Source organism: Homo sapiens, chromosome 4 (assembly GCF_000001405.40).
Source record: "Homo sapiens chromosome 4, GRCh38.p14 Primary Assembly".
In the NCBI taxonomy this organism is placed as follows: Eukaryota; Metazoa; Chordata; class Mammalia; order Primates; family Hominidae; genus Homo; species Homo sapiens.
In genome coordinates, this window is record NC_000004.12 from 8,735,993 (window position 1) to 8,749,869 (window position 13,877).

General features: G+C 53.9%; 1 long non-coding RNA gene across 3 annotated transcripts, besides 1 other annotated feature; it reads right to left on the minus strand.

Moving 5' to 3' along the window:
* Positions 9,135 to 9,662: an enhancer, noted in NCBI's record as "H3K4me1 hESC enhancer chr4:8746853-8747380 (GRCh37/hg19 assembly coordinates)". NCBI's record gives its function as "activates a minimal SCP1, AML or CMV promoter by ChIP-STARR-seq in primed H9 embryonic stem cells {active_cell/tissue: H9 hESC(primed)}" and the evidence as "EXISTENCE:reporter gene assay evidence [ECO:0000049][PMID:30033119]".
* Positions 9,404 to 11,730, minus strand: LOC101928532 (uncharacterized). 3 transcript variants are annotated; one of them, NR_187903.1, is made up of 3 exons: positions 11,354 to 11,730; positions 9,938 to 10,145; positions 9,404 to 9,673 (listed from the first exon to the last, which is right to left on the minus strand). It is a non-coding gene; the product is annotated as an uncharacterized LOC101928532 (long non-coding RNA). The 3 variants fall into 3 exon arrangements; NR_187902.1 differs by having other exon boundaries at positions 9,404 to 9,731; NR_187901.1 differs by having other exon boundaries at positions 9,404 to 9,764.
* Positions 11,731 to 13,877: the final 2,147 nt, after the last annotated feature.

Here is a 13,877-nt window from a genome sequence, read left to right on the forward strand (position 1 = left end):
GCTGCTCTTTCTGAAGCTGGTTTTCCCCTGAAAGGGGCACAGCCTGTCCCATTCACTCATTTAGAACCTGATGGTTGGTGTGGGGAAGGGGATGCGGATTTTTCTCCTGTTGCCCCAAAGACAGTTCCCAAGATAGAGCGACTTCTGAGCAGAGCTCTTCCTCTGCTGCAAAACGTTATGGCTGTGCGATTCATAATTGGAGCAGTCATCTCTGACCAATGCGATGGGGCTGCTTCCAAGAGCTTAACCAACCAATTCGTCCAGGGGGAAGGAAATGAAAGCTTTCCTTAATGTGTGGCTATCTGGGAGCCGCGGATGGGCACTGCCTGTGTTATTAACGACAATCAGACTGTTATTAATTTATATTCCGCCTCTTAAAGGAAAACCTATGTGTGCAGAGACCATGAGGGAACACCTTGCTGCTCATTTGCTTTCCAAGTCTATCTGAATTATTCAGGCCTGCTAATGAATTTGTCTTGTCCAGGGCTCTTCCATATTGTCTAGACAGATTTCAGAGAGTTAATAGCAGAGTAAATCCTGCAGTCTGGCCGGCCAGACAAAAATAGTTGCATATAATTATGTCGTTTCCTAAAGAGGTGATTTCCTGGCTGAGACCTGGGGGGTGTGGTCAGGATGCGTAGACATTTGCATGGACGCGTGGACATTTGCATATTTCTCACTGGAGCTGAGACACTGGGCAGGGAAATTCCGACTGAAGTCATCTGAGTGGAATTTTGTTTTTTTTGAGATGGAGTTTTGCTCTTGTCACCCAGGCTGGGGTGCAGTGGCGCTATCTCGGCTCACTGCAACCTCCCCCTCCCGGGTTCAAGTAATTCTCTTGCCTCCATCTCCTGCATAGCTGGAACTACAGGCGCCTGCCACCATACCTGGCAAATTTTTTACATTTTTTGATAGAGATGGGGTTTCGCCCTGTTGGCCAGGCTGGTCTCAAACTCCTGACCTCAAGTGATCTGCCCGCCTCAGCCTCCCAAAGTTCTGGGAGGCATCCCTGAGGAGCACGGAGGAGGATGAGAGCCATCAGCTGTCCAGAAACACAGGATGAGAGCTGTCAAGCATCCAGAAACAACTGCAGCAGCCCGGGTTGAGGGTGCTTCCAGCTTGGAAAGATGTCTGCTTGTCCTCAGTTTCCCCATCACATCAAACCAACAGGCATTCATCGTGCAGGCACTGGGCTGAATTCTGGGGACGCAGAGGCTGTAAGGTGCAGGTGCCATCACTGCATTGTCACAGGAGGTTCTGCCCAGGGCTGCCTCGGTGTTGGGTGGTAGCTGCATCTCTGAGGCATCCGGAAGCTTGGAGGGGAGGTCAGGGTGCAGGAGGCAGGAAGGGCTATTCTCGGCCTCAGGAGCAGCGGGACCTGGAATAAGCCTGGGAGACGTGTCCAAAAGGCCCAGAAATCTGGGTGTTTCAGGCTGAACCGCGTCCCTCCAAAATTCGCATGTGGAAGTCCTAATTCTCAGGACCTCAGGATGTGATCACATTTGGAGAAAGGGTTTTTAGGGAGGAGATTAAGTCAAAATGGGGTCACAAGGGTGGGGTCTGATCCAACCTGCCTGGAGTCCTCATAAGAAGAGATTAGGACACAGGCATGCACAGGGAAGATCAAGGGAGGACACGGGGAGACTGTGGCATCTGCAAGCCGGGAGAGAGGCCTTGGAGGAACCAGCTCTGCCTGCTGGCGGCTGGACATCGGGCTTCCAGCCTCTGGACTGTGACAGTGCATTCTGTGGCGTAGGCCTCCCCATCTGCAGGACTGTGCCATGGCAGCCCCAGGAGATGCGTGCCGTGGGAATAGGAAGCCCAGCCCTGTGGCCCCGCCAGCATATTCCGCCTCCTCCGTCTCAGCCAGAGCCCTTCGGGCCCATCCAGACTGCAGTTCAAACCCAAGCGTGTCTCCACCTGAACCTATGCCCGCCCTCAGCCCAGATGAGTTGGGGGCTCCAGGCTGGCGAGACAGCTGAGCGTCTGCCTCCCTCTGCACAGTGCGGTGATTTCGCCCTGATGGTTAAGTGGAGCGCTTAGCTCCTAATTGCTGTAATGGTGCTCGGGGAGGGCCCTCGTGGTGGGCGGATCAGGTGTGAGCCCAGAGTAGGCACAGTGGTTGGAGTCAGTGGCCAGCTACCCCCTGCCCCCTACCCCACCTGCAGCAGATGAAATACAGCCTTGCCACAGGCCTGCAGGCAAGGCGGAGAGAGTGGGCTGGGCTGCCAGGCCAATTGTGGCCACCTGGCACCTCTACCCAGCAGCCGGGAGGCAGAGGGTCTCATTCATTCATTCACTCATCCACCCATTCATTCAGGGAAGACACAGGCTGGGGGCTACTGTGCGCCCCACACTGTACAGGGCACTTGGCACAGATTGACTCAGTTTATTTTTCTGATGGGCCTTGGGGGCATTCACTTCATGTCACAGCTGATGCAGATCGGGCCAAGGGAAGCTAAGTCACTTGTCCAAGATCTCCTGGCAAGAGGAGCTGGGACTCAAGCACCAGCAGCCTGGGTGGCTCCAGAGACTGTGCTCCCAGCAGGCAGCACAGCCTCAGCCAGGCAGGCAAGGCCCTGCAGACAGGCGGTGAGGGCCTGCAGCAGCCCGGCCTCTGTCCCGCAAGGCTGGAGCTCAGGGAGGTAGGAAGCGAGGAGGCGCCCAGAGGGAGGTAGGAAGCGAGGAGGTGCCCAGGAGCCATGCCCAGAACTCCCGCCTTCCAGCTCATGGCCCACCTCCTGCGTGTTCTTACCAGGGCCCGGGATCCACCGGCGTTCCCAGCCCCAGAGAGGAGCAGCTGTGGAGGGCTGGGCCCTGGGGCTGCACTGGGAGGCCTGGGCGCTGAGTCCCCAAGCAGATGGTCCAGCCTTGGGGCCTTTGGCCACGCTGCCTCCCCTGATGCCCTCCCTGACCACCGGCTGCAGCACCGCTCTGAAACCATGCACACAACGTACTGCTATGTATTTCTTTGCTTACTCATTGCTGTCTTTCTCCTTCCCAAAGCACGAAAGTTCTGCCAGAGCACAGCTGCTGCCTGTCTTGTTCTCTGGCATCATCCAGGCCAGGACAGCACCCAGACCAGGATGATGTCCAGCACAGCTACCACGGTGCAGACTCCCGTCCCATGTGAGTGGTGGGGACGCTCCTAGCTGGAGCACGTCCCACCCTATCCTGACGGACATGGGGTTGCTTCCTAAGGTGGGGAGCTAAAGGTGGTGTCATAGAGCAGAAACTGCGCACCGAGAGACACAGCCAGGCTGTCATCCCCAACATCTTCCCAGGGAGCCGGGCCCTCACCCTGAAGTCTGCTGAACAAAGCTTTTAGCCTCCCAATAGGTGTTTGCTGATCTCAAGCTCCACAGAGCAGTGCTTTCCTCTCCTGGTGAATCATAATTACTTTCCTAGCACTGTGAGGGCCCTTTGTACAGAAGTAAGTGAATAACATACGTGCTTTGAAATGTCTTGGACATACTCGATGCCAGGCCTTCCATTGGCGTTTCCCTCTGTGCTTGCTGTTAATGAAGCCGGTGAAGTGGCCTTCCAGTGTGGCCCTGGCGGGGCACCCAGTCTCGGTGAATTAGACGCAGCAGCAGGCGGATACCGTGCCAGCTTCCTGAGCAGTCTCCAAATCGGCATTCGCCAGTTTTACCTCCTGCTGCTGGATTTAGGAGTTTAATTGAGGTTTTCTTTTTTCCAGGTTTTCAGTTACCCCTCCTCATTGTCTCGAGCCTCTAAACAAAATTGAGAGCTAAACAAATTACAAAGTTTTATAAAAGCCCTTTTTGAACATTCCTAAGCATGAAAGGATGGAGGGAGAAAAGGAAGAAGCACAGGGAGAGATGTCTGCAGAAGGAAGAGGAGCCTGGGGCTTGCAGCACCACCTGGACAGGCCTGTGTGGGGAAGCCCAGGAGGACCCTGAGAAGGAACCCAGGGGAGCAGGGGTGCAGAACCGCACGTGTCACCCCCTCTAAAGAGGCCCCAAGAGTGCACCTGAGCTGAAATTAATGGGGCATGGGCAACACGGGTGGGACAGGGGCCGGCAGAGCCCGAGTGAGCAACTGGATGGGTCCTATGAGTGCAGGCTGGGCAGGGGGAGGGTGGAGTGGGCTGGGGCCTTGGGGACTTGCAGCTGTGGGCTAGGTTCTCCGGTCAAAGGAGCAGAGGGTGGTCCCACAGTGAGGGCTGAGCCTTAGGAAGAGCTGGCAGCAAGTGCAGATAGAGCTTCAGAAACAGGGCCACTGGCAGTGTCCTCTGGCCTCACCTCTCCCCAGCTCTACCACACCTTCCTTCCCAGCTGGGTACAGTGGTCCCCCTGCCCCCGCCCAGTCCCTGATGGCGCCGGAGTCCTTTGCAGGCCACAACTCTCGCTTTTGTCCACCCTCCTCCCAGGGGAAGGGAGCGAGCATGAGTCAGGCCTTCCGTGTGCTGTACCACCCAGTAGGCGCAGCCGGCTTCCACAGCTCGCAGAGCGCATGTCTCTTGCTGGAGCCACTGGATCCAAATCCAGGCCCTTGCCTCCGTGCCCGAGCTCTGACTCCCGTCTCACAGGCACTCGGTAAAGGCTGAATGAATCAACAGATGCACCAGCAGTGTGTGTTCATGAGAGTCGTTGTGAAAAGCCAGTCTTCTTTAATTAATGACTCGCCTATAATTGCCATTCTAGTGCGCTACGTGCCGCCGTCTGTGATGGGCTTTCCAGACCAATTTTGGCGTCAGCGGCCTAATGTGGGCATGCTGTGCCTGCGCACCCAGGGGCCCAAGTGCCCCATCCATCAGCCTGCCTCCTGCAGCCCCAGCCGCCCGGATCAATACCCTCTCCCACACCCAGGCTGGGGCTGCACCCTCAGTCTGCCCCTCATGGTGGGCCACCTCCCTGGCGCACGACACTCCTGGCTTGTTCCCAAGGTGTCAGCATTTCCTTTGTGCTAGACTAGGGGTCTCAGAAAGGGCCCGCCCCTCGAGCTGGTCAGGGGCCAGGCACGTGGCCCCTCTGCAATGTGGCCCCTCTGCAACCTGATCCCCGTGGACGTCCTGGGCCTGCCTTCCCTCAGCCCCTTCCCCTTTCCACTATTCACTCCACCTCCTGCTTGCTGCGCTGCCCCCAGCCCCCATGGCTCAACGCTCTGCTCTGTCCCTGGGGAATTCGTGCTTCCAGACTCAGCCCCTTTCATTGGAGGTGTCTCCCAGGGAGGCATCCCCCTGTCTCCAAGGTAAGCCCTGCCCTGCCAGCCCCGGAAGCACTCACCACTCCCCCAGATGCCTCTGCGGCTTCAGCCTGTCTGGGTCCCCAGTGCCTGGAACCAGGACTCAATGTTGAGGAATGATGACATCAGCCAGTGTGGGTGGGGGTTGGGGTGGCCCACGGTCAGATCCCACGGATTCATCCTCCAGCAGCACACAGCTTGGCAGGTGAAGGGAGGCCCAGCAGGCAGCTAACTGTGTTCTTGTCCCCAAAAGATAACTGTGTTTCCCCAGAAGAGATCTTCAACCCCCGAGACCCAAGAATGTGATCTTATTTGGAATGATAGCCTCTGCAAATGTCATCAGATTAAGATGAGGTCACACTGGATGGTGTCCTTAGAGGAAGAGAAGGAGATACACAGGAGACAAGTCCGAGTGAGGGCAGAGGCAAAGGCTGGAGTGGTGCCGCTGCCAGCCAAGGAGTGCCAAGGGTGGACGACTGCGTCCAGGTGGGTGACATAAAGGAGGAGCCCCCGCTGGAGCCTGCAGAGGGAGCACGGCACTGCTGACACGGTGATTTTGGACTTCAGACCTTCAGACGGTGAGAGAATCAATGTCTGTGCTTTAAGCCATGCAGTTGGTGGTCCTTTGCCATGGCAGCCCAAGCAAGCTAATCCCCCTACCAGTGCCCTGCCCTAGCCAGGCAGCCCTGCACCCCACACCAGGCCCCCTCCATCACGACCAGCATCACTATAACCCCCCCAGTGCCCCAACCTGACCAGGCAGTCCGGACCTCACATCAATCTCACTGCCTCACCACCAGCGTCACCATCCCCCTCCCAGTGACCCACCACAGCCAGGCAGCCCTGCACCCCACACCAGGCCCCCTCCATCATGACCAGCATCACTATACCCCCTCCCAGTGCCCTACCCCGACCAGGCAGCCCCAGACCCCACACCAATCTCACTCCCTCACCACCAGCATCACCATACCCCCTCCCAGTGACCCACCCCAGCCAGGCAGCCCCAGACCCTACACCAGTCCCCCTCCATCACCACCACTGTCACCCTGCTCTGGGCTCTGGCTACTGGCTGTGACATCCATCTCTTAACCCAGCAGTCCCCAACCTTTTTGGCACCAGGGACCATTTTCTGGAAGATAATTTTTCTATGGATGGTGGGGAGTTGGGGGGCACAGAGGATGGTTTTGGGATGATTCAAGCACATTCTATTTCTTGTGCACTTTATTATAATATAGAATGAAATAATTATACAACTCACCATAATATAGAATCAGTGGGAGGCCTGAGCTTGTTTTCCTGCTACTAGATAGATGGTCCCATCTGGGGTGATGGAAGGCAGAGACAGATCATCAGGCATTAGATTCTCATATGCTCAGCATAGATCCTTCACATGTGAAGGTCATAATAGGGTTCACATTCCTGAGAATCTAATGCTGCCACTGATCTGACAGGAGGTGGAGCTCAGGCGGTAATGCAAGCAATGGGGAGTGGCTGTAAATACAGAGGAAGCTTTGCTCACTTGCCTGCCACTCACCTCCTGCTGTGTGGCCCAGTCCTGGCCCATGGCCCCGGGGTTGGGGACCCCTGTCTTAACCACTGTCCTTGACTTCACACCTCTGCCATCCTTAAAACCAAAAGTATCTTCCATCCTCCAACTCCCTGGGTCATGAATGCACTGGGTCCCTCTCTGGCTCCATCTCCCCTCACATCTCTTCCTGTTCCTGCCATCTGGCTATGCTTCTTCTGGTATCCTCATCATGCTGGCCCCTCTGCCTGAAATGTCCTTCCCATTTTCAACTGCAAACTCCTACTCATCCTTCAAAACCCAACCCAGACCACCTCCTCTGAGTAGAGCTAACGAAGCAGGAGGACTGTCTTATCAGCTCTGTGAATGGGGTGTCATCTCATCATATAGTTTAATGTCCTAATGTCAAACCCAGCAAATTAGGACCAGTCCCTTTACCCCACTGAGTCTCACAGTCCTCTTAACAACTGTTTAATGAACAACTGGTTTGAACCACCTGCTGGAAGGTTTTGGATCTCTCTATACTAAACATCTTGATTTACTTCTCAGAGTCCTTAATCCCAGTAATGATTTTTTAAAAAATTTTAGCCCAGCTTTTGAGAGAAAGAAAAGACATGAAAGAGTACATGTTAACATCAGGGGCATAGTTAATGAGCAGAAACCTACTAGGAAGGATCCTAGAGTGGCCAGTCTGTCCAATCCAATTTCTCTAGTCTAAGATAGAAATCGCTGGTTTTGTTGCTGTGTAACTGATATAGTTTGGCTGTGTCCCCACCCAAATCTTATCTTGAATTGTAGCTCCCACAAATCCCATGTGTTGTAGGAGGGACCAAGTTGGAGGTAATTGAATTATGGAGGTGAGTCTTTCCCATGCTGGTCTCATCATAGTGAATAAGTCTCATGAGACCTGATGGTTTTATAAATGGGAGTTCTCCTACACAAGTTCTCTCTTGTCAGCAGCCAGGTAAGACGTGCCTTTCACCTTCTGTCATGATTGTGAGGCCTCCCCAGCCACATGGAACTGTGAGTCCATTAAACCTTTTTTACTTTATAAATTACCCAGTCTCGAGTATGTCTTTATCAGCAGCGTAAACATGGATTAATTCAGTAACTTTTTAGTTATTTAGTTAAGTTCCATTATTCTTCTTATAATGGCTCTGTGAGGTAGGGGCTATTCTCCTGACATTTTACAGATAAGGAAACTGGGGCTTCCAGAAGTAGTCTGCCCTGGCCTCAGGGCTGGGCAGCCTTGGCAGGGGTGCACAGTCAGGTAAGAAAGACACAGGTAAGAAAGGTAAATGAAGTGGAGGGGGTTAAGCGAAGTGTGGAGGCTGCAGGGGACCACATGGGGACACCTAGTCCAGACTTGGGAGTCAGGGGGCTTCTCTGGAGAGCAGCATTGAAGCCGTGACCTACAGGAGGAACGAGCAGGAGCCAGAGAGATGAGGGTGCAGAGCTCCCAGGTGTCAGGAGTGATGTGTGTGGTCCCAGCACAGGTCACGCCACTGTAAGACCTATGCGGCCAAGTCCAGGAGGGAGTGAGGTGGTGCCCCCTCCCTCGAGTGGAGTCTCAAGTAGAGATGAGAGAGGAAGGCACCATGAATGTCCTCGCACCCAGGTGCCTGGCACATGGTTGGTGCTCTGTAAGTTATCTTTCAGTCAAATTGAACTCGCCGGCGAGTGACCTAGCAATTGAAAAGTGAGCCTTAGATCGGATCAGAATCTTTGACCTCACTTCCGGGAACTGGGAATCACGCAGCAAGGCCAGACCACGCGTGAAGGGTGTGGGGGAGGCACTCCCAGGGCACTGACCCCCTGTCATGCTCACTGCACTCCACCAGGCGGCGGGCACTGGGGCCCTGGACCAGCCTCCAGCTGAACCCCATGCCCAGCCTTCCGGGGACACAGCCTGCACCTGCTCACCAGCAACATGGCTCCCCAGGTTCCAGGCCTACCTTGGCACTAAAGTTCCCCACCTCCACGGTGAGGTTGTCTCTCCTTCTGGTCCTCAGTTTCCCTGGCTGTCAAATGAAGAGGATTCCCTAAGATGGTCCCCCAGTGCCATCCAGCTCCCACAGGCCCTGATCTTCTGTAGGCCCCTTTTGCTCTTTCAGGACTTCTCTATGTGTCCTTTATTGAGAGCTTTGCTACTAGGCCGTTTGTATTTTCTGAAGCTGTTCTCTCCCCTGAGCAAATGTGCTTCCCTCCTGTGCCATCTCTCCCCTGCCTCCAACTCACGGTATTGATATTCAAACAAAAATAGCTCCTATCCCTCTGCCCACATCACCAGATGCACAGAAATGCAGAGTTACTTCCCGAGGCAATTAATCCCATTAACAAGCAATAGTTCACAGCCTTCAACCGGGAGGCCGCCTTCATTACAGACTGTTAACCAAGATCTTCCTTAATCCCATGCAAGGCGTGCAGGCTGCTGCTGGGACACCCAGACACCAGCGGCCTTGGGATTAACTGCTGCCCCCATCCCACCACAGCACCCCACGTCCGCACACAGCCCTTCCAGCATCCCTGGGCACCGACGCCAGGGCTGGGCACATGGCAGCTGTACGGGGGTCCCCTCAACATTCAGCGGATGTCAACAGCCCACTCCTGATTGGGAGTGATTGTTTTCAGCATGGAGTCAGCCCGGACTGGATTTATCAAACTGTTAACTGTGCTTATCGCAAATCACTTTAATGATGTGTTAACATTTAATTAGATCGCTACCGAATGCTTCAGATTACACGTACGGCCGGTGAACCTGACCATCAGAGCAAAGAGAGTCACAGAAAATGGGATCCTTGCCCCCAGCCCCAGCTGGACAGGCGGTCCTGGGCTTGGCAAGCCAGCCCATTTTGGGGGGAAGTTTCTTGGCATCTGCTTTACGTCTCTGGTGAGGCCATAAGGCGTGCAGTGGGCATTGTCGTGGAAACCGTGCACATCCTGGAAAAAAGAAGTCTGCTCATGTTCACGCCGCGTGGCTGTGTTACGTGTCCGCTGTCTGCAAGGCACAGAGTTGATGCTTTGAGGGACCCTGAAATGGAGAAAACATGGACCCTACCCTTGAAAAGATAGGCTCACAGAGCAGAAAGAAAATTCCTGTTCCTGCACCCAGGCCCATGCTGAGCAGGGGGCGGCCCCCGATCCTACTGCTCAGCTAGGAAGGCGTTTTATCTGCATTTTACAAACAGGGAGATCAAGGCTCACAGAAGTGGTTGTTTACTCCTTGTGGAGGCTCCACGAGGGCAGGAGGGGAAAGGTCTTGGGTGAACAAATGCTCGCTCGGCCAGGCTGGGGCCAGCGCTGCAGGCCCGGGAAGCAGAACCAAGGGGCTTCAAGCTGTGCTGTAGGCAACCACGGAGGGGCTTTGAGGCAGGGGTCGGGGTGACGCAGTCCAACCCACGTTTTCAAGATCCTAAGAAACAAAATGTTCATTATCCTCACGATTTGGAAATAGGAAATCCAGGTCTGTGCTATGACCCCACGGTGTGTCTGATGCCCTGTGTAGCAGGTTGGGTGTTGGCCCGTGAGTGTCAAATGCCTCCTCTTCTTTGGGTCATTGGTTCATTGATAATTATTGAGTTATTGAATCATTGATTCACTTGCTGGGAATCTGCTGGGCATGGACGGTGCCCACGAGAAGCGCTCTCTCCATCTCAAACACATATGCACACCATGCACATATGCACATGTGGGCCCACACACGCATGTGTGCACATACATGTACAAATCCACCCAATGCACATACACATGCATACATTCACATACACCCTCACACTTGTGCACACTCATGCACACAATACACGTGTGTGCACATTCACATGCACACCCACACATTCCACACGTGTGCACACATGCACGTACATTCATACACATGCACGTACATTCATACACATGCACACTCCACACACTTGCACACAGATCCATGCACACACACAGACGCATGCACACGTACGTTCATGTACATGCACACTCCATGCCAGTGCACACACATTCATAAACACAGGTGCGGGCACACATGCATGTGCACACACATTCATACACACATGCGCAGGCACACACATTCACACACACAGGTGCAGGCACACACATTCATACACACATGTGCAGGCACACACATTCACACACAGGTGCAGGCACACACATTCATACACACATGTGCACACACATTCATACAGGTGCAGGTACACACATACATGCACACATGTGCACACATATTCATACACACAGGGGTAGGCACACATATTCATGCACACGTGCACACACATACATGTGCAGGCACACACATTCAGACACACAAGTGTGCACACATTCATACACACAGGTGCAGGCACACACATTCATATACGCATGTGCACACATTCATACACACAGGTGCAGGCACATACATTCATACACACGTGCAGACACATTCATACAGGTGCAGGCACACACATTCATACACACATGTGCACATTCATACACATGTGCACACACATTCATACAGGTCCAGGTACACGCATTCATGCACACATGTGCACACACATTCATACACACAGGTGCAGGCGCACACATGTTCCGCCACACATGCGTTCACACATACAGCGCCAGCCTTCATATGGTTCAGGCAATCATGCGCCATACCCAGCTGCTCTCCAGGTTTCCATCTCCGGAAATGCAGGAGCCGGGGCAGTGTGTGGGGGCCGGTGTCCCATTTGGCTTCGCTCTCCCCTCCACCTGCATGAGTTGGGGAAATGCCCGTTTTCAAAGGACATGTCGATGGCCCTGCGGCTCTGCCTCCACGGGGCCGTGGCCCAGCACCTCCGCAGCGAGGCCTAGGCAGCAGCTGTGCTGCAAACACCACCCTGGCTGTGCTCAGAGGCGGCCGGCCGCCCCGAGAAACCCTCCATGATGTGACGCGACCAGACAGGCGCAAGGAACAGGCCCCGCAGTCATGTAAAATGCAGGAGCGCTCCCATCCCAGACGCTGGCTGACCGAGCAGCAGCGCAGCAGTAAGCGCATCCCAGTCCCCGTTTGGGGGCAATTTAACCCGGGCCCTTGCGTAACAACAGCCTCATTATTCGGAGGAAGCCGGAGGCTCAGGCGTGTTCTTTGAATGGCATAGCCCTTGTAGGGGGTGCGCGAAATCATCTGGGGTGGACGCCACGTGGCCTCCCAGAGCTAGCCCAGCCCACTACCCAGATGGAAGCTTCCAGATGAGTCAGTCCGTGGGAAGAGAACAGGAGTTTGTTCAGCAAGCTCCAAAGCCTCGGGCAGCCTGGGGGATGATTGACCTGGAGTAAAATCGTGCATCCTTAAACTGGCAAGCCTTGGGCTGCCCGACAGATTCCACGTACGGGTCACCTCCCCGAGACAGATTAAGCTCCATGGTACCCCTCTGCCCAGGCGGGGGGTGGGACGGCCCAGCCCTGCTCCTGGATGTGCTGTTGCCTCCCACATGGTGTGGCAAAGGAGAAGGTAGGAAAGGCCAAGGCATTGGGGCCAGGCCGGCAGGCTTGAGATGTGGCTGGTGCTGAGGCCCTTAGGGTGAATGCCTAAACCTCTCTGCACCTTGGTTCCTGTGCCCCAAAAGTGGTCATAATAAGGGAGACCGCCATGCAGGCCCTGTGTGGGAGGCTCTCACAAGGACAGGGCTGAGCCTCTGGACGTCAGCGTTGCTCTCTGGGCACTGGGCAGGGGCTGCGGCACCGTCCCGGGCACTGCCATGAGCAGGCAGCAGGGCCCTCGGAGCCAAGCCCACACCTGCTCAGAGAGGAGACTGAGCACACTCACTGGGAATTTGCGATGGCACGTTGGTAAGAAGAGTTCAGCAGGAATGGCAGGCAAATTGGTGAAGGCATGCAGGCTGGCAGGACAGGGTAGACTCCTGCGGCTGCAGAATTTGGAGGATTCCCCATCATCTACTGGCTCTGTCTCACAAACCCCGCTGGATGCTCACAGAAAAGTCTGGAAAAGTCCCCAAGTTTTGTCCACTGTGGTGGACCTCGGAGAGGGGTTGAGCAGCCACATGGAACTGGTGTGAAATTCCAGCCAGGCCCTTCTCCCCACTGTCCATCAAGGTACAAGAGCCTAAACCTGAGCAGGACATCAGTGAAAACGCATTGCAGCTAAAGGAGACTGGGGAAAGAGGACTTTACTCTTCAGGGAGGGTGACAGGATTGAGGACTGAGCCCACAACCATGGCTAGAAAAAGAGCAGAAGATCCGAGAAGGCCACAATCCCAAGAACCAGGGCCACAGTAAACCTAAGACTAAGGCTTATCCAGAGCCTCGGCAAGCGCACTCACCTCCACCTCCTGCCACCAAGCTAATAAGATCTGCAACACCAGAAACAGCAGAACGATGCCGAGAAAGGGAGAGGAGAAGGGAACCAGCATAGGAAATCTCTCTGAAGCACAGTGCAAAAGGAAAACCTAGAATTCAGAGTCATACGTTGCTAAACACAGACTATCTATGCAGCTGCTTGAAGCAGTTAGAGTGATCACAGTAACACATCTCAAACCTAGCCCAGCTCCTAACTAGATTAACTTAAACCTCCTACAAAGGGTCCGGTAGGAGGAAGTTGTGCCCGTATAAGATGCCTGGCTTTTAACACAAAATTCTGATGCATACAAAAAGACAAGGGAAAAAAAATCACACTCATAAGAGATAAAGAATACACATGTTGGAAATACTGGGCAGGAAATTTTAATAACTATGATTACTCTGTTGAAGGCTGTAATGAAGAAAGGGGACAGTGCATGATCAGATGGGTTATTTCAACGGAGAGATGGAAACTGTAAGGGAGAATCAAATGGAAACGCTAGAAATGAGAAACACAGAGACAGAGAGGAAGAGTGCCCTCAATGGGCTCATCAGTAGATGCTACACAGCTGAGAAAGAATCACTGACCTTGAAGACGAGTCAAAAACAATTACCCAAACTGGAAAAAAGAGAAAAAAGAATGAGCATCACATGGACTAGAACATCCAAGAGCTAGGAGACTATATCAAACTCCTAACATACGCATACCTGGAATCCTAGAAGTAGAAGAGGGAGAATGAGCAGAAGAAGTATTTAAAGAAATAATGACCAGAAATTTACTGAAATGAACAACAGACACCAGAAGACAGATCCAAGAAGCTCAGAGAACACCAGCTAGCATACA